Genomic DNA, 22,859 nt, shown 5'->3' with positions numbered 1-22,859 from the left:
CCAGCTATTCGAGAGGCTGAGGCAGGAGAATGGCGTGAACCCGGGAGGCAGAGATCACAGTGAGCCGAGAACGTGCCACTGCACTCCAGCCTGGGCGACAGAGCGAGACTCCATCTCAAAAAAAAAAAAAAAAAAAAAACCACAAAAAACAAAACAAAAAACAAAAATAGTTAAAATGGTAAAATTTGTCGTGTGTATTTTACCACCAAAAAGCCCACAGTGGCCAGGCATGGTGGCTCATGCCTGTAATTCCAGCACTTCAGCAGGCTGAGACGGGTGGATTACCTGAGGTCAGGAGTTTGAGACCAGCCTGGCTGACATGATGAAACCCTATCTCTACTAAAAATACAAAAATAAGCCGGGCATGGTGGTGGGCATCTGTAATCTCAGCTACTTGGGAGGCTGAGGCAGGAGAATCGCTTGAACTCGGGAGACTGAGGCTGCAGTGAGCTGAGATTTCATCATTGCACTCCAGCCTGGGTGACAAGAGCAAAACTCCGTCTCAAAAAAAAAAAAAAAAACCCCACAAAACAACGAAACAAAACTGTGGGACAGGCTGGGATACACACGGGCTGCAGGAGAGGCCAGAGGAATCTAGATGTGGCACTAAGACCTAAACTGATGGACAAGTGAGCGTGGGGTGTGGCTGTCCTGAGGGGTGCACTTGAGACCATGAAGGCAAAAGGCAAGTGTTTTGTACCCCAGGCAACTTTGCAGTAGCACCCTTTGACTGAGTGTAGCATCCAGGCACAGCCCACTAAGGAACAGGCAGCAATACTTCCTTTCTCTCAGGGCTCAAATTGAGACATCATTCACTTCACACACCCATTTTATAGGTGGAGAAATTCAGGTCTAATCAACACTTCTTTATTGAAGAGACCACCCCTGTGTATAGACTTTGGAGTGGCCCTGGGGGAGATAAGTGTGGGTGGGAGAGAAGATCCCAAACTACCAAAAGTTTGCTCCATGTCACAACCTGCCCTAGGCCTCCAGGCCAATGTGAACAGACAGGCACAAGGTTGAGCAGGATGGATGGTAAATGCCAAGCTGGGTGCAGTGACAGGGGCAGTGGCAGTCTGGGTCGACCTCCCATAAGAAGGAGTCACAAGGAGACATTGAAGGGTGGGAGGATTTGAAGAAGGGAAAAAAAGAGGTTGTCCTGAGGCTGGAGAGCTGAGCACAGTGTGGTGTTGACAGGGCCTGGCCTAACTGGATGTCAACAGTGAAGTAGAGGGGCATCATGGGATGTCAGGCTGGAAAGGGCAGTGCAGGTCCCACACAACAGGCAAAAGCTCTAGCTTTGGCCTGGAGGCAGCAGGGAGCTCCTGCAGTTCTAAACTGGGGTGGGTAGAACTCTTGTCCCCAGGTATGTCCATGGCTAGTCTCCCCAGGGCCTGGATGGTGGGGGCAAACCCCTCTTTGGCTCCTTCCTGCATAGCCACCCTTAGAATTGCCTCTGCTTCTCAGGTCTTTGAGACTGGTACAGACTCATCCAAAAAGCCATCTTCTTCTCCTTGAGCTTCATGCCCACTCTTGTGGTAAAATCCAGCTGCAGGTACTTTTCATCCTTGTTGTAGCGTGGCCAGCAGGGCAGATTCCCATCATTGGGGTTTCTGCCCAGAAATAAAAAAGAGAGGATTACCTGTGTTCCTTTTCATCCTGCTTCTTTCTTTCACCCTTCCCTCGTTTAATTTGCCCTTGGGACTTGGGGTTCCAGAGGGCTTTACGGAGATGATACTTAGAACTTTAATAAAGAGTAGGAAAGTGTGTATTGGGGTGGGCCTTCCAGGCAGAGCAAACAGTATGTGCCAGGTTGAGAGATATAAAAGACCAAGGCTTTTGGAGGAAGCACAAGTCAAGAGTTAGGTAAAAACAGAGTGTGTGTGTGGCCAGGCCTGGTGGCTCATGCCTGTAATCCCAGCACTTTGGGAGGCTGAGGTGGGCGGATCACGAGGTCAGGAGATCGAGACCATCCTGGCTAACATGGTGAAACCCTGTCTCTACTAAATATACAAAAAAAAAGCCGGGCGAGGTGGCGGGTGCCTGTAGTCCCAGCTACTCGGGAGGCTGAGGCAGGAGAATAGCATGAACCTGGGAGGTGGAGATTGCAGTGAGCCGAGATCGCGCCACTGCACTCCAGCCTGGGTGACAGAGCGAGACTGTCTCAAAAACAAACACAAAAACAAAAAAAAAAGAGAGTGTGTGAAAGGGATCAAAGTGGAAAGGAGATGACATAGGAAAGATTTTGAAAGGCCTTTCACGCAAGGTTGAGGAGCTGGGACTTTATCTTGGAGGCAGAGAGAAGCCATGAAGAGTTTTAAACAGGAGAGTGACTTGGTCAGATGTTATTTCAGAAAGACCCCTTGGGCTGGGTATGGTGGCTAACACCTGTAAGACCAACACTTTGGGAGGCATAGGTGAGAAAATTGCTTGAGCCCGGGAGTTGGAGACCAGTCTGGGCAAAATAGCAAGACTTCATCTCTACAAAAAATACAAAAATTAGGCTAGGCGTGGTGGCTCACACCTGTAATCCCAGCACTTTGGGAGCCCGAGGCGGGCAGATCACAAGGTCAGGAGATCGAGACCATCCTGGCTAACATGGTGAAACCTCGTCTCTACTAAAGATACAAAAAAATTAGCCAGGCATGGTGGCAGGCACCTGTAGTCCCAGCTACTCGGTAGGCTGAGGCAGGAGAATGGCATAAACCCGGGAAGCAGAGCTTGCAGTGAGCTGAGATTGCACCACTGCTCTCCAGCCTGGGTGACAGAGCGAGACTCTGTCTCAAAAAAAAAAAAAAATTAGACGGGCATGGTGGTATGTGTCTGTAGTCCCAGCTACTTGGGAGGCTGAAGTGAGAGGACTGCTTGAGCCTGGGAGGTCAAGGCTGCAGTGAGCTGTGATTGCACCACTACACTCTAGCCTGGGCAGCAGAGTGAGACCATGTCTCAAAAAAATTTAAAAAAAAAAAGAAGAAGAAAGACACTTTGAGTGTCATAAGGAGGATGATTTGAAAGGAGAGAGGCCAGGCGCAGTGACTCATGCCTGTAATCCCAGCACTTTCAGAGGCCGAGGTGGGTGGATAGCTTGAGGTTAGGAATTCAAGACCAGCCTGGCCAACGTGAAACCCCACCTCTACAAAAATACAAAAATTAGCCAGGCGTGGTGGCCTGTAATCCCAACTCCTCAGGAGGCCGAGGTGGGAGAATCGCTTGAACCTGGGAGGCGGAGATTGCAGTGAGCTGGGATTGCGCCACTGCACTCCAGTCTGGGTGACAGAGCGAGACTTTAAGAAAATAGTCACAAGGCTAGCCAAAGCTCTCTTTACATGTCACCTGCCCCCTAGGCTGGGCCAGACACCTCCTCTATGCTCTCAAAGTGCCTTGTGCTCCCCCAGTACAGCTCTCAGCGTACCAGATTGTAATTTCCTGATTTTATGTGGTGAGCTGCTGGAGGATGGGGCTCATGTCTGCAACATCCTTGAATTCCAGCTCCCAGTACTGGGGCTGGGCCCAAAAGAGTGCAGTGGTGAATGACTGTGGAATGCTTGAGTGAATGAAGAGTGTGGGTCATGGATCAAGAAGGACACATTCTAGAGACGTTTAGGATCCGGTGACTGACTGAGGAAAGCTGAAGAAGAAGGGGCACCCTGTTTGGGCCGACTGGGCAGTTCCTGTAGGACATGCTGGGGCAAATATCCGAAGCAGCTGGCTTCTTCAGGTCCAGCACTGGGCAGGTAGAATGCCCAGATGTGCTGGGGGGCAGACTCACCCTGTGCGGGCAAAGTTGGCCCAGTATTTCATCATCTGGAGGCTAAGTGCCTTCTCCTTACCCATGGAAAGGCCTGGGGGCAGAATGGGATGTGGGATTTCGGACAGAGCAGGGGACACTGACCTCCCACCCTACTCCTGCTGCTTCTGCTGCTTCCGGAGCAGAAGACTTTCATTTGGGAGAGCATAACAGATTAGGAACTGGTGAGCTCCCTGTGGCCAGCCAATGGAGGGGTGGGTCTGCATCCAGAGGTGGGAGACTGGACACCCAGTTGGGGTATCAGGTGGGACCTTTGCACCTGTGGCGAAGGGGCCCCCAAAGAGGAAGTACATCTCATCCCCATGGTCTGCCCCATCAGTGCGGGGTTTGACGATTATTCCACGAGCGTGGTGCTCAAATTCATACAGGTAGACAGGGAGGCCGGCATCTGTGAATAGGGAAACTGAGGAGGGATGCAGGAAAAGCCTCTGCCTAGGCTTCTCATCCACCCCATGCCTCCCACTCACCTGCACCAAGCAGGAAAAAGAGCTTTGGCTTCAGAATCAAGGGGGCAGACTTGAATCCTGTCTGCACTACTCATTCACTGTGTGACCTAAAGCAAGTTGCTCTACCTTTCTGAATTGTATCAATAATTCCTTATCTTCAGACTGAGAATACTAAAACCTAATTCACAGGATTGTGGCCAGGATCATGGAAGCCTTCCTTTTCCCTGTTCTGAACCTTCCTTTCTTGGCCTCATATTGAAGGGTCTTTGGTGTCTGCATTTTCCAGCCCCCCCCCCTTTAACCTGTTACCCACATGTTCCCCTAGCCCCAGTCAGCCTGAACTTTCAAGGTGCCCCTAAGCCTGTCCTCTCAGCCAGGAAGCCTTCCCTGACCACCCCAGGCTTCTCCTCTGGACTGTTTGAGGTCCTGCCCTTGTTCCTAAGGAAGAACAGTTCCTCTCTTATACTTTTTTTGTTTTTTTTTTGAGATGGAGTCTCGCTCTGTTGCCCAGGCTGGAGTGCAGTGGTGTGATGTCGGCTCACTGCAACCTCCCCCTCCCAGGTTCAAGCGATTCTCCTGCGTCAGCCTACTGAGTAGCTGGGACTATAGGCATGCGCCACTACAGCTGGCTAATTTTTTTGTACTTTTAGTAGAGATGGGTTTTCACCATGTTGGTGAGGCTGGTCTAGAACTCCTGGCCTCAAATGATCCACCCACTTCGGCTTCCCAAAGTGCTGGGATTACAGGTGTGAGCCACCGTGCCTGGCCCCTTCCTCTCTTGTAGTTGATAGCATGCTGCCTCCTCTGTGATATCTTAGAATCCTATACTAGCCCAGAAGTACAGAGAGGGTAGGGGAGCAGTCGATAAGCCCAGTTGGTAAACAGCACACCTGGAGAGTGGACGGGGCCAGTGTGGCCACTCTTGGGGACCCTGCATACCTCGGTGGTAGTGAGCAGTCTGCAGTGTGGCATACACGAAAGTGGCATCTTGAACTATGTCCATCATACGGTTTCGTAGCATCTTCCAGTCATGCTCATTGACATTGTCCAGGTACTCCTCCACCACAAGTGGTACCTGCTCCTTGGTGATATTCTGAGTGAGGAGGCCACACTTACCTGAGGCCTGGGTGCCAGCTGGGCCAGAGGTGGGCCCACCAGTGACTTGGATCCATGCTCAGCCCCCCAGGAGTTTTTGGCCTGGGAGGGGGAGAAAGGGAGCTTCCTGGGAAAGTTTCTGTCTCTGCTGATTGTAACCCCTGATTTTGCTGCATAACTGCCCCTGTGACCCTGAGCACCTTACCTGTAAGCAGTCATCTGATCCCACAGCAAACCCCAGACCCTCCAAGAAAGATCCTTACCCTGGCTGGGAGCCCCTTTGCAAAGAGCAGCTACTAGGTTAAAAAAAACAGGGGGGTCAACCCTGTCCGAACTGAGCACCCCTGCCAGCTGGGTCCCTCACCAACAGGGTGCGGGTACTCCAGAGCATCTTAGTGATGGTTTCCTTTCTCATCGCCTGCCGGTTTAGCGGGAACTTCATGATCTGTTCACAAGACAAGGACCCCAGTGTGGGTCAGGCCTGAGCATTAGGAGGGATTCTGGCCAGAGCTACAAAGGCCCCAAAGGTCTTGCCCATCTAATGATGAGTTATCAGACACAGCACACAGCCCAGGAAGGGCCCATGACTCTCTCTTGTCCCCCTGCTCCCATCCTGCTCATCACTACCACCTGGGCCAGAGCTGAAGTGGTACTGAGTGGGGGTCCATCCTGAGTTGGGGCATCTACCCTGACCCAGGAGCAAGGGAGGGCTTCAGGATTTGCAGTTGCCTAGAGGCTTGGGAATGAACATCATAACCCATCTAAACTATGATCTGAGAATTTGTGGTCCTCAAATCTCCAGCAGGCCATACTTCTCCCTTCTTCCCCTCCATCATTCATGGCCAGTTTTCACTGTACAGGGACTACAGGAGGCTCCCAAACATAGGGCATCCACAGAGGGGCTACTGGCATCTGACCTGGTGCCCAGCACCGTCCAAGAGGCATCCTTCCCTGCCTCCACTATGGTACTCACTTACGTAAGGCAAGAGCCAATTGAACTCCTACTCACTTACATAAGGCAAGAGCCAATTGAATTCCAGGTTGTTGACACCTAGAAGGTAGGGCACAGATGAAACCTTCCCCTGGGTCAGGAGCACCAAAGGGTCATCTGGGATCACCACACCATCCACCACAGGGCTCATGGACCAGATAATCTACAAGGCAAAGGGCATTTCCAGCCAGTCTCCTCAAGTATCCTCCCAGGGTCCCTGCAACCTTGGGTGCCCCTTCAGAGGCTGCTCTAGCCTAGGTTCTTTGATTGGGAAAAGGCTGGGGCTGGCATGGTGAGCCCCAGGAGGATGGGTGTGGGAGGGGAGCAGGATAGGCAGGACCAAATTACGTGGACTTGGGATGGCCGCGGGTATCTGTATAGCTCACTCCTTCACCTCTTGAAAATCTTTGCTAAATTTCACTTCACTGAGTCCTGTTCTAGCCATTCTATTTAAAAGTCCATACCTCCCAAAATGTCCAACCCCTTTACCCTCTCCATTCCTTGCTATTCACCTATCACCTTCTAAGGAGGTGGATAATATATTTATTTATAGGGTTTATTCTCCTTCCCCACTGGAACATCAGCTCCACTAGGGAAGGGATCTTGGCCTGAACAATTCCCTAAGTATCCCAAGTGCCTGGCACAAAGTAGGTGTTAAATAAATACTCAAATTGCAGAATGTGGCCTGTTTACCTCTTCCGGGTCTCTCTGGAAGTTCAGTTGGAGGAATCTCTATGGGGGAGAGGAAGGGATCAGAGTTAAAGGAAGTCTCCCTCGTGTGCTCTTGAGACAGGGTCCCTGGGGAAGTAGTTGGGGGTGGCTGGGTACCAGGATAGGAGGATGGCCCTCAGGCAGCCAGGTCAGGCAGCTGGAATGTTCTACCTACCATCTTGTTGGACACACGCATCACCTTGGTCCCTGATAGTGCCCTCAGGCAGTTTACCAGGATCTGTGTGCTGTTGTGGTTGCATCCAGCCAGGTGGGCAACCTTCTATAGAGAGAAGAAAGGATGCTCAGTGGTGCTTCCATCCTGCCCTTCCATGCTGAGCCCTGGGGAAGGAGAGGCACTCACCTTGGCCACTTTCAGTGGGTTACTAGTGATGAAAAGTCTGAATAACGCGGTGCCACTCTGGGAAATGGCCCGATGGAAGAGACCCGAGGCTAGGGGTGACATCATCTGCAAGAACAGGGAGGAATACACCCGTGAGATGCCCAAGTAGAGACACCTGGGCTGTTCTGGGCATCTGTCTGGCCATGGGCAGGCAGCCTGAGTGAAGCCAGGAAGGGCAAGTAGCTGGGAGGGAGTCAGGAGTCCTGGGGTGATGTCCTAGACCTAAAGCCAGTGGTATTCCTGCCTCTGGTCTGTACAGTGGGCCCCAGTGGGTTCCAGAGGGGATGTGAGATTGGGGGAGGGAATCTGCTGGTGTGGAAAAGTGGTCTCCCTCTACTTTAGGGCTAGAAATGAGGGGTAGGTGGAAGGGACCTCATGGTTTCCCCAGGTTGTTACCTGTGCTGACAGCTGTTAGCCTCTCTCCACTGCCCAAGTTGGGGGAACAAGTACATCTAGGGCCTCCCATCCTGTCCCTTGGATACCTCAGACTTCATATGCCCCAAACCTGCTCCAGCCAATCCCTGTCTGGGTGGCATTCCTTACCCCATACCATCCCCCAGCCCCAGGGGCCTTCCCTATCTCTGCTAATGACCACACCCCAGCTGCCCTAGTCCTGCCCATTTGGCCTCCTGGATCACTCTGAGCCATCCTCTGCTCTCCATCTTTCCTGCCCCTGCTTTAGAGCCAGCCCCATGATCTCTCCTAGGATATATCCTATCCCCATCCCTGCCCCTCCCAGTAGCTCTCCGAGTCTCTGCTCCTGTTTCTTGCCAACCCAGTCCCATGCAGCAGGCTGAGCCATCTCTCTAAATGCACATCTGATCATGTCACTTTGCTGCTTACAATCTTTCCCTGCTTTGGAGAATCGCTTGAACCCGGGAGGCGGAGGTAATGGTGAGCTGAGATCACGCCATTGCACTCCAGCCTGGGCAACAAGAGCGAAACTCCGTCTCAAAAAAAAAAATTTTTTTTTCCTCTGCTTTTTAGTGAATTTTGGATAAAGTTGCTTAATTCTCTGGGCCTTCGTTTCTTTATCTGTAGAATGGAGACAACAGTACTTTTCTTTTTGGACTATTGAAGGAATTACATGGATGACGACACATAAGGTGCTTAGAAGAATGCCTGGCACACAGGAAGTGCTCAGCTGTTGAGTATTATTATGACTGTGGCCAGCAATGTCCTGTGTGATGTGTTCACTTCCCAGCCATATGCCCCTCACAGGGCACCTTACAGTACACCCACATTCCAGGCACATCCCAGGTCAGCAGTCACACAGGAGTCAGGGGCAAAGCCCGTCAACTCATGCCCCTGGCTTGCAGGCCTGGTGTGAGGTCCTAGCCTTGCCCAGGGGGCAGATGGTGGGCTCTGTTCAGGGGATAGAGTTCTGGGGGAATGTGGAGAGGCAGAAGGTGCTGGGTAGCACCTGGATTCACTGATTACCCCAAGCCTCAGCACTACCCTTCCTGGGGCTCAGTTTTCTCATCAGTGCTATCCCTCAACAGAGGAGACATCCTTGGCTATGAGGGGCTGTACCCTTGGCAGGGGCGAGAGCATTTCTGTGGCAGGCACGTTCCTGTACACGCAAATCTGCACATGGCCTGTGCAGTGGAGCATACATTTGTGGGAACGCAGGAGCCTAAGTCTGTGCTCGGTCCGTCTGGGCATTGCTCTCACCAGTCCTGAGATGCTCATGGCCCCCGCCGACTGGCCGAACAGGGTCACATTTCCTGGGTCTCCCCCGAAGGCTGCGATGTTCTCCTGCACCCAGCGCAGAGCCGCCATCTGGTCCAGCAGCCCCCAGTTCCCGCGCGCGTGGCTGTCGTCCGTGCTGGGCGTGTGGGGTTCACTGTCAGGGTCCCGGGCCTCGACAGTCGGGGCGCGTTGGGCTGCCCTCCTGGGCTTCCCCCACCCAGCCCAGCCTTGCCCCTCTAAGACCCAGTCCTGCGACCACACCCCCTTCCTTGGAGTTAGCTCGCCCCATCCAGATGGTATGGAGCGCCCGCCCCTTCCACCGAGCGCCAGGCCCCGCCCCCGCCTCGCGGCCCCACCCCCCCCATCCCCGCCCCAGGCCCCGCCCCTCCCTTCCCACCCAGTCCCCGCCGCTCTGGCCACAGCTGCGGTCCCAAAGGGTACCGGCCCCGCCACCTCAGGAAGCCGAAGATGCCGAGCCTGTGCTGCAGAAACACCAGCACCACTTTCTCGCGGGCGGCCAAGTCAGAGCCCTCGTACGAAGAAGCAGCGCCCACGATGAAGGCGCCTCCCGGGAACCAGACCATCACCTGGACGAAGAAGGCCGGGATCTGAGCGGGGCGGTGGGCGGCGGTGGGACCGCGGGCGCGGGAGACCTGGCACTCACTGGCAGCTGGGGATCCCCGGGCGCGCGCGCCGGCGCGTACACGTTCAGGTACAGACAGTCCTCGCTGAAGCGCAGCCACTTGTACCGTTCCCGCGTGCTGACGTACATCGAGGCCAGCTGGCCCCAGGACTCCTGCAGGCACCTGCGGGCACCAGGTAGCGGCGGCGGCCGCGGGGAGATCGTTTCAATCCAGGGTCCGCAGTGAGAAGACGGAACCCAAAGCAAAATCCAGGCAGCGTCTGTGCGCGTGCGTGTGCGTGCGCATGTGCGTGCGTGTGCGTGTACAGGAGGCCTCCGCCAGCCCCGGGGCCCAGGACTGGGAGGCAGGTTGGCCTCTCAGGAACCATCCCCTCCCTGCCCGGCGCCTCAGTCCGTGGAGAGATTCCTGCTCCTGTTGGTGCTGTCAAGGCAGGAACCTGCCTGCCCTGGGCACCTCCCTGTCTTTCATGCCCCACCCTCCCCTCAGTCTCCCTTCTGCCTCCCAAACAGCTCTGGAATATGGTCCCTCCCCTCCATCCCCATCTCTGGGGAGATGTCAAGGCCACCACCGTCTCTGGTCTGGACAGTACCCCAGCCTCTTCACACTCCTCCTACTCCTCGGCCACACTCTGGCGGACTATGTCACTCCTCTTCTTCATATCTTCCCTAATATGTACAACTATGATATATCAATAAAAACAAACAAATCAACAAAAATCTTCCCTGGCTCTCCACTGCCCTCAGGATAAAGTTAAGATACGCGGAGTACCCAGGCCCTCCTTTCCATCCAGTCATCTCTGTCCCAGCCACCCTTTGCTGTAGATACATGTGGCCCCTTGCCTCCCACCTCCAAGCCCGTGGGCCTCAGTCCTCTCAAGCAAATGCCTTCTGCCCTGCCCAGCAAACTCCTATTCGTGTTTAAGGCCCAGCTTAAGTGGTGTCTCCTCTCCTGGTCACTTCCTCTTCTGTGCCTCCCGACATCCTGTCCACTTATTTTTTTGAGACAGAGTCTTGCTCTGTTGCCCAGGCTGGAGTGTAGTGGCACGATCTTGGCTCACTGCTACCTCTGCCTCTAGGTTCAAGCAATTCTCCTACCTCAATCTTGCAAGTAGCTGGGACTACAGGCACGCGCCATCACACCCAGCTAATTTTTGTATTTTTAGTAGAGTCGGGGTTTCACCATGTTGGCCAGGCTGGTCTCGAACTCCTGGCCTTAAGTGATCTGCCCACCTCGGCCTCCCAAAGTGCTGGGATTATAGGCATGAGCCACCATGCCTGGCCTCCTGTCCGCTGTTGACCATGTCCTGGTTGGAGTTATTTCAGTTGGCTGTTTTTCTCCCCAAGTGACCATGCACTTCCCAAAGGCAGGAATAGAGGTAGATTCATCTGAGTACTGGCACCCAGCCCAGTGCCTTATACTGTGTGGATATTTGGGGTATTTTTGTAGCATGGGCTCTCCGGCCACCTCACCTTTTCTCCTTGCTGGCCCAACCCCTAGGTGGCTATTCTCATAACAGCTGGGCCTGGACCATTTGATTGGGCGCAGGACACCCTGTTTGCCTCGCCTGTTCCTCTGCTCCCTTCTGCTCTTGTCCTAGCCTAGCCTGTTCCCAGAGCATCACCTGCTCCCTTTCACCAGTCCTTCCCTACAGCATTCCAACACTCCTTTGGCAGCAGCTAATGTGGTATTAGAATGCTGTCTAGTAAACCACACCTAGCACCTCACCAGGAAAGCCAGGGCTCTGATAGCTGGGAACTGGGATTATGAACAGCCAAGGCTTCTGTGCCCATCCCACCATCAGAGCCATCCTGCCATGGTCACCAGTGACATCCATCTTGCTAAATCTCTGTCATTATCTTACTTGCCCTGACAGCCCTCAACATGGTTGACCATATTATATTCCCCTTTGCTCTATCTCCTCTCTTTTTTTTTTTTGTTTGAGATGGAGTCTCGCTCTGTCGGCCAGGCTGGAGTGCAGTGGCACCATCTTGGCTGACTGCAACCTCTGCCTCCTGGGTTCAGGTGGGAGATATCAGCTCACTGCCTCAGCCTCCTGAGGCACATGCCACGACACCTAGCTAATTTTTGTATTTTTAGAAGAGACGGGGTTTCGCCATGTTGGTCAGGCTGGTCTCGAACTCCTGACCTCGTGATCCACCCGCCTCTTCCTCCCAAAGTGCTGGGATTACAGGCATGAGCCACGGTGCCCAGCCTCCTCTCTTTCTTTAGAGACAGGGTCACCCAGGCAGCAATGCAGTGACATGATCATAGTTCACTGCAGCCTTGACCTCCTGGGCTCAAGTGATCCTTAACCTCCCAAGTAGCTAGGACTACAAGCACGCACCATCACACCGGATAATTTTTAATTTTTTTGTAGAGACAGGGTCTCACTATGTTGCCCAGGTTGGTATGGAACTCCTAGCCTCAAGGGATCCTCCCACCTCAGCCTCCCAAGGTGTTGGGATTACAGGTGAGAGCCACCTCGCCCGGCCAGATTATCTTTCTCGAACAGCTTTCCTTCTCTGGGCTTCTGTAACACCCCGTGCTCCTGATATTCCTGCCACCTCATTGGTGGTTCCTCCTTCTCTCCAGGCCTAAGCATGAGAGTGCCCAGTCCTCGACCCTCAGTTTTTGTTTTTTTTTCTGACCATCCTTTCTCCCATCATCCAGGCCCAGGGGCTTCACACCACTGATGTGCTGATGATCAGTTTGCCTTCTGTCTTCTCTCTCCAGCCACCTTACCGCCCCTCCACGTGGAACATCTGTCAGCACGTCAAATTTAATAGGCCCCAAAAGGAACTGTGTGTGTGTGTGTGTGTGTGTGTGTGTGTGTGTGTGTGTGTGTGTGTGTTTTAGATAGGGTCTCACTCTGTCTCTCAGGCTAAGTGTGAGTGGCACGATCATAACCTCCCAAGCCCAAGCAATCCTCTTACTTCAGCCTCCCAAGTAGCTAGGACCACGGCACTGCGCCCAGCTAATTTTTTAAATTTCTTGTAGAGACAGGGTCTCACTACATTGCTCAAGCTGGTCTCAAACTCCTGAGCTCAAGTGATTTCCTGCCTCGGCCTCCCAAAGTGCTGGAATTACAGGCATGAGCCACTGCTCCTGGCTCAAAATGAATTCCTATTTTGCCCAAACTTGCTCTTGCTCCAGTTTTCCTCATTTTGATAAATGGTACCCCTATTTCCTTGTCTACTGTGGCCAAAAACTAGTCATTATCAGTGATTCCTCTTCTTTCCTTGTGGCTTATATCCAATTCTCCAGCAAATCCTGCCAATTTTACTTTCAAAATAAATTTGGAGTCTGATACCTTCCTTCCACCTCCCCCGTAACTACCCAGGCAGAAACTACTATCTTTGAAACATCCTCCTCTCCCGCTGCCCACCCCAACCACCACCCCATGGGCTATTCTGAGCAATCCACAAATTCTTACACCTGACACTCCGTTTCCAAACAGCCATTGTTTTGACAGCTCATGGTCAGTTTCTAACAACTGATGCCCAGACTTCTATACAGTGAACACTCTAACCTCTAAATCCCTGATCTCCAGGGTTCTAACAGTGGCCATCCCATGTTCTGTCACCTGATCTTTGGGATTCTAAATAAGTCACAGAATGTTCAGGATAACTGGGATCTTATCGGTGACAGCCAATGTTCTGACAAGGAACGTTCTGGTATTTTAGTAACTGCTAGTCATGTTCTAACAGTGGACAACCTGCTTTTATTTTTTTTTTTGAGACAGGGTCTCACTCTGTGGCTCAGGCTGGAGTGCAGTCAGTGGTGCACTCATGGCTTACTACAACCATGATCCCTTGGGCTTTGATCAAGTGAGCCTCCCACCCCAGCCTTTAGAGTAACTGGGACCACAGGTGCTCACCACCACCCCCAGATATTTTTTTAAAATTTTCTGTAGATATGGGGTCTTGCCATGCTGCCCAGGCTGGTCTTGAACTCCTGGGTTCAAGCAGTCCTCCTGCCTTGGCCTATCAAAATTCTGGTATTACAAGTGTGAGCCACTGTGCCCAGCCAACAACCTGTTTTTAACAGCTAGACACCTGGGGTGGTATTTGTATCTTTTTATATCAGCTGATACCCAGGTTCTCAGACATTTTTCTAAACCCTGTGCTTTAACCAACTGATGCTGAGCATTGTTAATGATTGCCACAGAATGTTCTGGACAGTGGATTACTCAATAGTCTGAATAAACAGTAAATACACTTGTTCTGGGTAAATCGCCAAGCCCAGTGCTTCAAAGGGCAGTCATTGTTCTAATTATGCTTCTGTGACTCAGGGCTCAGCCCCCAGAGAGAGGGAAGAGCTCCGGACTGGGTCAGGGGGGTGATGTGAGAGTGAACACTGCCCCTCAGACACATTTAGGAAAACGCAGCTCCCCAGCAGGTGCTGGAGCACGGTCGGTGACAGCCTCCCCCTTGCCTGGAGCTCTCCTCTAAGAAACCAACAACAAGTCTAGGCGCAGTGGCTCATGCCTGTAATCTCAGCACTTTGGGAGGCCGAGGCATGTGGATCACGAGGTCAAGAGATCGAGACCATCCTGGCCAACATAATGAAACCCTGTCTCTACTAAAAATACAAAAATTAGGTGTGCATGGTGGCACGTACCTGTAGCCCCAGATACTCAGAGGCTGAGGCAGGAGACTCGCTTGAACCCGGGAGGCGGAGGTTGCAGTGAGCCGAGATCGTGCCACTGCACTCCAGCCTGGCGACAGAGCGAGACTCCATCTAAAAAAAACAAAAACAAAAACAAAAACCAACAGCAGCATTGTCAGTGATGTAAACACCATCAGGACCAGTTTGCTCATGATACGGGTCTGAAAACTGAGGCCCAGAATGGGCCCCAGGCCTGCCTGTGATCACACAGTGAGTTCTTCTCAGTGAGCTGTGCAAAGCCCCACCCAGATGCAGGCATAGGCCCATTGCCCCCTCCCAGTGGACAGGCCTCTGACTCTTACCCAGGCGGGTAGGTGGTAGCATCTCTGATTCCTTTCCAGGGCTCCGGGGGTTCTGGAGGTGCAAACCTGAGGATACCTAGAGGAGGTCTGGAGAAGGGGACTCCTAAAAAGACTTGGATGGGTGTCTTCCCCACATGCATCTGTTTTCCTTGCAGGGTTCCATATTTGGTGACCACTTGAGGCCTCTTGGTGTGCAAGGCACCTGGGAAGAGAAGGGAAAAGGGTCACCTCTGCTCAGTCACCCAGCCACAAATGGGACCCTGGCTCAGCCACTCAGCCACAAATGGGACCAAGGCACCTGGAAAGAGAGGGGAAAAGGGTCACCCCTGCGCAGCCACTCAGCCACAAATGGGACCCTGGCCCATCTGTCATGGGAAGCAGTGGCTGCTTTTCATAACAATTGATCATAACCATTGTGTGTCTGTCCACTTCTTCTTGTGCTTCTCTCAGAATTTTTTCTCTCCTTTAACGTTTCGTTTATTTATTTATATTTATTTATTTATTTATTTATTTATTTTTTGAGATGGAGTCTTGCTCTGTCGCCCAGGCTGGAGTGCAGTGGCGCAATCTCGGCTCACTGCAAGCTCCGCCTCCCAGATTCACGCCATTCTCCTGCCTCAACCTCCAGAGCAGCTGGGACCACAGGCGCCCGCCACCACACCCGGCTAATTTTTGTATTTTTAGTAGAGGCGGTGTTTCACCATGCTAGCCAGGATGGTCTCGATCTCCTGACCTCGTGATCTGCCCGCCTTGGCCTCCCAAAGTGCTGGGATTACAGGTGTGAGCCACCACGCCCGGCCCTCATTTATTTATTTATTTATTTATTTAGATGGGGTCTTTCTCTATCGCCCAGGCTGGAGTGCAATAGCCCAATCTTGGCTCACTGCAACCTCCACCTTCCAGGTTCAAGTGATTCTCCTGCTCCAGCCTCCTGAGTAGCTGGGACTACAGACACACAGCACCGCGCCTGGCTAATTTTTTTTTTTTTTTGAGATGGAGTTTCGCTGTTTTTGCCCAGGCTGGAGTACAATGGCGTGATCTCGGCTCACCGCAACCTCTGCCTCCCGGGTTCAAGCCATTCTCCTGCCTCGGCCTCCCGAGTAGCTGGAATTATAGGCATGCACCACCATGCCTGGCTAATTTTGTATTTTTAGTAGAGATGGGGTTTCACCGTACTAGCCAGGATGGTCTCTATCTCCTGACCTCGTGATCCGCCCGCCTTGGCCTCCCAAAGTGCTGGGATTATAGGCATGAGCCACCGTGCCCGACCTCATTTAACATTTCAAATCCCTATCAGTAAGCATATAAAAGTTCATGTCGGCTGCGCGCGGTGGCTCACGCCTGTAATCCCAGCACTTCAGGAGGCCAAGGTGGGTGGATCACGAGGTCAGGAATGGTGAAACCCCGTCTCTACTAAAAATACAAAAATTAGCTGGGCGTGGTGACACACACCTGTAATACTGCTACTCAGGAGGCTGAGGCAGGAGAATTGCTTGAACCCAGGAGCGGAGGTTGCAGTGAGCCGAGATCGCGCCACTGCACTCCAGCCTGGGCAACAGAGTGAGACTCCATCTCAAAAAATAAATAAATAAATAAATAAATAAATAAATAAAAATTTATGTCTATTATATGGGCTATTTCTCTGCGTCATTTAATGGCAATAAATGCATTATTCATTTTGATTTCTGTTTGTCTGATATTAATATAGCTACACCTCTGTCCTTTTTTTGAGATGGAGTCTTGCTCTGTCGCCCAGGCTGGAGTGCAGTGGCACGATCTCGGCTCACTGCAAGCCCCACCTCCCAGGTTCATGCCATTCTCCTGCCTCAGCCTCCCGAGTAGCTGGGACTACAGGCACCCGCCACCATGCCCGGCTAATTTTTTGTATTTTTAGTAGAGACACGGTTTCACCATGTTAGCCAGAATGGTCTTGATCTCCTGAACTTGTGATCTGCCCGCCTCAGCCTCCCAAACTGCTGGGATTACAGGCATGAGCCACCGCGCCCGGCCTACGCCTCTGTTCTTGTTGTTAACATTAGCCCAGCATGTTTCTAGGAAGAAATCATACACGCATATATGCATTCTTACTCATATGCATACTCGCATCTAATACTCACATGTACATGCTAATTTATGATATAGGTACATGTGAGCACAGCTCATCTACAAAGGAACATGCAGAAAAAGGCCAGGCGCAGTGGCTCACGCCTATAATCCCAGCACTTTGGGAGGCCGAGGTGGGCAGATCACTTGAGGTCAGGAGTTCGAGACCAGCCTGGCCAACATGGTGAAACCCCTGTCTCTACTAAAAATACAAAAATTAGCCAGGCGTGGTGGCGGGCACCTGTAATCCCAGCTACTCGGGAGGCTGAGGCAGGAGAATCGCTTGAACCCGGGAGGCGGAGGTTGCAGTGAGCCGAGATTTTGCCACTGCACTCCAGCCTGGGTGACAAAGTGAGACTCCGTCTCAAAACAGACAAACAAACACTCCAAGAAACATGCAGAAACAGAAGAGTAAAATGCATGTCCATATACATACATACATATGCGTACAAGTGCAGTTGTACATAGGTGACAACAAATCTATCTACAGCATACTTATTACACGCACACACAAGCACACATACACAATGCAAGCAAACTTACACCATAGCCAGCTCTTGGCATAGATATGAAATAGGCCAAGTTGAATCCGACTTCCCGTGGATACTCTTTTCTTCCTCTTCCAGGCTGTCATCCTGCCCCACTCCTATTGCCAAGAGTCGTTGAAGCCTCACATCCAATGTCCCTTCCTGAAGTGCCCTTGTCTATTTGCCCCCTCCTCCTTTTATCAAAACCGAATTGGGCTGGGCACGGTGGCTCACGCCTATAAGCCCAGAACTTTGGGAGGCCGAGGCGGGTGGATCACCTGAGGTCAGGAGTTCAAGACCAGTCTGGCCAACATGGTGAAACCCCATCTCTACTAAAAAAAAACCAATAATAATAATTAGCCAGGCCAGCGGCACAAGCCTGTAATCCCAGCTACTTAGGAGGCTGAGGTAGGAGAATCTCTTGAACCCGCGAGGAGGAGGTTGCGGTGAGCAGAGATCACTCTATACTCCAGCCTGGGCAACAGAGCAAGACTCCATCTCAAAACAAACAAACAAAAAACCAAAAAACAAACAACAAAAACCCAAACTAAATTGTTCTGTGCTCCGGTCCTATGGAGCTCATTCTGTAAAGTGACAGAAAGCAGACCTGATCCAAGTAATTAGCGAACCTATCTGTGCATCAGAATCACCTGGAGGATCATTGCAAAAATATGTATTCCTTGGCCCCACCCCACACTCTCTGATGAGAATCTCAGGGTTGCAAACCTCCCCAGATTTTGATGCAAATGGTTTTTGGAATAGGATTTGGAATTGATGCAATAGAGCACACCTTCACACTCCCAGCTGCAGGTGGCCAAAAATGCCTCTCTGCCCATGCCCCCAGGTCTCTACAGGTCTCACATAAGCAATATCTGGGCAAAAAGAAGTGACTGCAATGGAGACCCTTCAAACATGGAGGCAGGCCAGCAGCGGCAAGGGCCAGCTCAAATCTCCCGTTTGTGCAGCCTTTGCAGTTTACAAAGCTCTTTCACATGGGCTTCTCCACTGGACTTGGGAGGAGCTGGGGGAGGCCCAAAGACCCAGAGGGGGGCCGTGACCAGCCTGCAGTCTCACAGGACACAGCCAGGAGGCCAAGGTCTAACCCATTACCTGGATTTGCCCTGAATCCAGGGTCCACTCATGGTGGAATAGCCAATAGCTATAATTTACTGGGCCTTCATTATAGCCTGGGTGCTCTGCCAAACACTTTAAATTATCTCACCTCATTTTTTTCTTTTTTTCTTTTTCTTTTTTGTAGAGACAGGGTCTCACTTTGTTACCCAGGCTGGTCTTGAACTCTTGGCCTCAAGTGATCCTCCCACTCTGGCCTCCCAAAGTTCTGGGAGTACAGGCATGCATGAGCCACCACGCCCAGCCTCACCTCATTTTTCTGAAAACCTTATAGGGCAAATGTTATTGTTACAAAACTATACAAATGTGGAAGCTGAAGCTCAAAGGGGTTATATAAGTTGGCCAAGGTCACACAGAAAAGTATCTTACATCAGAGCAGTGCCTTAAACCATGTTTTTCTGTCGGCTCCCTAGCCTCCAAGGGGCACCTAGCCATGTAGCAGAGTGCTCTAGACCCCTGAGCATGAGCTGCCATGGAGTGGTCCCCATCCCAGCTCTGCTACCCAGAGGCAGCATGTAAGCACCTATGAAAACAATATTCCACCTTACTGGTGGTCATAAAGTGCTAACTAAAACCAGGAGTTACAACTTAGACCTAATAAATTTAAAAGTGATGGCATCTAATTCTGGTGAAGATACAGTGAAAAGGACATTCACATATACTGTTGGTGGAGGATAAACTGATACAATGCCTTGGGAAAATAATTTGGCGAAATGTATACAAAGCCATGAAAAGTTCACTTGCCAGCTGGTGTGGTGGCTCACGCCTGTAATCCCAGCACTTTGGGAGGTCAAGGCAGGTGGATCACTGGAGGTCAGGAGTTCGAGACCAGCCTGGCCAACATGGTGAAACCCTGTCTCTACTAAAAATACAAAAATTAGCTGGGCGTGGTGGTGCGTGCCTGTAATCCCAGCTACTCGGGAGGCTGAGATAGGAGAATTGCTTGAACCCAGGAGGTGGAGGTTGCAGTGAGCCAAGATCGCATCACTGTGCTCCAGCCTGGGAGACAGAGTGAGACTCCATCTCAAAAACAAAACAACAACCAAAAAAGAAAAGAAAAGAAAAGAAAAGAAAAGTTCACATGCCTTCACTCAGTAATTCCACTTCTGGGTCTCTCCCCTGTGAAAATAGTCAGAAACACATGAAAACAAAGACCTTTCTGAACTAAATTTATCTATACCATAGTGAATACTGGAAGCATCATTTATATCTGGGGACCAAGCAAGGCCAATGTAACTACAGACTCAAACTTTAAACTGCTTTTGGTAATAACTTAAATTAAAAAAAAAAAGAAAAACCCCAGAATATAAAATTGTGTTTATTCATTCATTCTTTCTTTTCTTTTCTTTCCCTTATTTTTTTCTTTTTTTGAGACAAGGTCTCCCTCTGTTGCCCAGGCTGGAAGGCAGTGGCATGATCATAGCTCACTACAGCCTCCACCTCCCAAACTCAAGTGAGCCTCTCACTTCAGCCTCTCGAGCAGTTGGGACTGCAGGCATGCACCACACCATGCTTGGCTAATTTTTAAATTTTTTGTTCAGATGGGCTCTAGTTATGTTGCCCAGGCTGGTCTTGAACTCCTGAGCTTAAGCAATCCTCCCACATCAGACTCCCAAAATGCTGGGATTATAGACATGAGCCACCCCATTTGGCTTAAAATTGTGTACATTCTAATAGTACAGCTATAGATAAATACACAATGAAAAGGTGAAAAGAGGTTGGGCATGGTGGCTCATGCCTGCGGTCCCAGCACTTTGGGAGGCCGAGGCAGGTGGATCATCTCAGGTCAGAATTTCGAGACCTGCCTGGCCAGCATGGCGAAACCCCATCTCCACTAAAAAAATACAAAAATTAGCTGGGCTTGTGGTGTACGCCTGTAGTCCCAGCTACTTGGGAGGCTGAGGTGGGGAGAATTGCTTGAACCCGGGAGGTGGAGGTTGCGGTGAGCGGAGATGGCACCATTGCACACCAGTCTGGGTGACAGGGCGAGACTCCGTCTCAAAAAAAAAAAAAAAAAAAAAGAAAAGATGAAAAGAAAATGCGCCAAAATGTTAAAAGCGGAGTAAGCAAAGTTTCCTTCAAATTTAAAATAATGGATATATGTATATATGGGCAAAATTTATTTATGATAGAGGTCAGACTAGTGGTAACTTTGAGTATTGACTGAGAAGGAGTACATGGGACGCTGGAGATGGTTTTTTGTTTTTTTTTTTGAGATAGAGTTTCGCTCTTGTTGCCCAGGCTGGAGTGCAATGGCACGATCTCGGCTCACTACAACCTCTGCCTCCTGGCTTCAAGCGATTCTCCTGCCTCAGCCTCCTGAGTAGCTGGGATTACAGGCATGTGCCACCATGCCTGGCTAGTTTTGTATTTTTAGTAGAGACGGGGTAATAATATTGGTTAGGCTGGTCTCAAACTCCTGACCTCAGGTGATCTGCCCGCTTCGGCCTCCCAAAGTGCTGGGATTACAGGTGTATCCTTGTAAGTTAAAAAAACTTTTTAAAAAATGTTTTTTAAAAATAGAGACAGAGTCTATTTACCCAGGCTAGGTCTCACTATTTGCCCAGGCTGGTCTCAAACTCCTGGGCTCAAGTAATCCTCCCACCTCAGCCTCTCAAAGTGCTGGAATTACAGGCATGAGCTACCATGCCTAACCCACTGGAAATGTTCTAGATGTTGATCTGGATAATGGTTACCATATATATATATATAATAATTAGTATAATAGATATAATTATACAGTGAAGATGTGTGCACCTTGCTGTATACATCTTATACCTCAGTAAACTTTTGTTAATGTATTAGATTGTTTTCACAGTAAAAAGTGTAGTACTCATTTTAAAAAGAAAGATATTGGGGAGAAATTTGAAGGTGGTAAAGAGGTTCATGTAGCAGAGAGGGGGCAGAGACAGGCCTCCTGCTTAGGAGAAGGAAAGAAGGATGGAAGGAAGGAAAAAGGTGGGAAGGAAGAAAAGATGTGGCCATGTTCTCAGACCCCTTCACCTGTGCCGGGAGGCAGGAAATACAGAGAAGCCCTGAGGTTCAGGGAGGCTAAAGGACTTGTCCAGACTCCCAGCTGGTAGATGGTTTAGTGTCCTGAAACCCTACCCTCCATTTGCCCAGGCCTTGTCTAAGTGCTCCTGCCCTGCTGTCCCCAGGAGAGGTTGAACTGGGGCCTGTCCCTCCATCCCTTGTGCCCGTCTTGCCTGACACTCTCGGGAAGGGGTGGGGGTCTTACCCAAGGCCGTCTGCGCCATCAGGCAGAGGGTGAGGCTCCAGCACAGAATCCACCTCATGCTCCAGCCAGCTCCTGCTGTGGGCAGGAGTGATGGCAACACTGTGGATGGCAACACTGTGGATGGCATGGTAGCCGTGTCTACAGTGTGTGAGCACACTTTTATCTGCTCTTAATCCCTGCCAGCAAGTACTGGGGCGGGAGGAATTGTAACCAGCTTCTGACCAGCCCACAGCCTTGTCTCTGCCTTGGGCAACAGGTCACGCTAGATGATCTTGGCTCTTCAAACTGATCAGCCTGCAATCTCCGCCCCGTTTGCTCATCTGTGCAGTGGCTTAAAGCTGAACATGTGTGAGTCAAGGTCTAAGCATACAGTGGGTGCCAAGATTGAAGTAGAACACCTGGTTACTTGGCCCTTCAGCCAGGGCTTCCTGTCTGTGGATTTAAGGGTCTTGGGCCTCCCTGCTCCCCAGTGCCTCGTCTAGCCTCTTCCCTGCCTTTCCTCGCACATGCTGACCCTTGGCTGTCCTCACAGTTTCATAGTCCACATGCGGAAGCTGGACCTGAAAGCAACCGTAATGTGGGAGCCCAGAGGGGCACCCGAGGAGTGAGCCCAGAGCCGGGTGGTGGGAATGAAGATTCCCTGGAAAAGATCTAATCTTCTAAGTAAAGGATGAGGAGGAGTGGGCCAGGCAAAGAAAGATCCTGTTTGAAGTTTGGAGCCACAGGAGCAAGTGTGGGAGGTGGAAGCAAGGAGACAGCAGTCCCATCTTCAGTCAAAGGTAAGATGGGGCTGGGTGTGGTGGCTCATGCCTGTAATACCAGCACTTTGGAAGGCTGAGGCAGGTGGATCACCTGAGGTCAGGAGTTCGAGACCAGCCTGGCCAACATGGTGAAACCCCGTCTCTACTAAAACAAAGAATACAAAAATTAGCTGGGCGTGGTAGTGTGTGCCTGTAGTCCCAGCTACTCAGGAGGCTGAGGCAGGAGGATGGCTTGAACCTGGGAGGCGGAGGTTGTAGTGAGCCGAGATCGGGCCACTGCACTCCAGCCTGGGTGACAGAGTGAGACCCTGTCTCAAAAATAAATAGGCCAGGCACGGTGGC

The 22,859-nt window shown here is 51.2% G+C and overlaps 1 protein-coding gene across 20 annotated transcripts, besides 2 other annotated features; it reads right to left on the bottom strand.

Moving 5' to 3' along the window:
* Nucleotides 1-169: 169 nt before the first annotated feature.
* CES4A (carboxylesterase 4A) lies at nucleotides 170-21,998 on the bottom strand. 20 transcript variants are annotated; one of them, XM_011523021.3, is made up of 15 exons: nucleotides 21,757-21,998; nucleotides 14,758-14,959; nucleotides 14,408-14,527; nucleotides 9,808-9,949; nucleotides 9,585-9,730; nucleotides 9,126-9,279; nucleotides 7,413-7,517; nucleotides 7,227-7,331; nucleotides 7,034-7,072; nucleotides 6,363-6,503; nucleotides 5,714-5,794; nucleotides 5,194-5,347; nucleotides 4,068-4,196; nucleotides 3,770-3,842; nucleotides 170-1,613 (listed from the first exon to the last, which is right to left on the bottom strand). In XM_011523021.3, the coding sequence occupies exons 1-15, from the start codon at nucleotides 21,881-21,883 to the stop codon at nucleotides 1,445-1,447; spliced, it is 1,887 nt and encodes a 628-aa protein (XP_011521323.1). In that variant the 5' UTR covers nucleotides 21,884-21,998; the 3' UTR covers nucleotides 170-1,444. The 20 variants fall into 20 exon arrangements, with proteins under 20 accessions (XP_011521323.1, XP_011521325.1, XP_011521329.1 ...); XM_011523023.3 differs by having other exon boundaries at nucleotides 9,597-9,730; XM_011523027.3 differs by lacking the exon at nucleotides 4,068-4,196.
* Nucleotides 8,680-9,581: an enhancer, noted in NCBI's record as "H3K27ac-H3K4me1 hESC enhancer chr16:67034909-67035810 (GRCh37/hg19 assembly coordinates)". NCBI's record gives its function as "activates a minimal SCP1, AML or CMV promoter by ChIP-STARR-seq in naive H9 embryonic stem cells {active_cell/tissue: H9 hESC(naive)}" and the evidence as "EXISTENCE:reporter gene assay evidence [ECO:0000049][PMID:30033119]".
* Nucleotides 18,667-18,961: a silencer, noted in NCBI's record as "tiled region #2980; K562 Repressive non-DNase unmatched - State 22:ReprW". NCBI's record gives its function as "represses a minimal TATA promoter and a strong SV40 promoter by Sharpr-MPRA in K562 cells {active_cell/tissue: K562}" and the evidence as "EXISTENCE:reporter gene assay evidence [ECO:0000049][PMID:27701403]".
* Nucleotides 21,999-22,859: the final 861 nt, after the last annotated feature.

The sequence above is a fragment of the Homo sapiens genome, chromosome 16, assembly GCF_000001405.40.
Source record: "Homo sapiens chromosome 16, GRCh38.p14 Primary Assembly".
NCBI classification, from domain to species: Eukaryota; Metazoa; Chordata; class Mammalia; order Primates; family Hominidae; genus Homo; species Homo sapiens.
The sequence above is the reverse complement of the archived record's forward strand: the minus strand, read 5'-3'. Positions and strand labels throughout refer to the sequence as shown.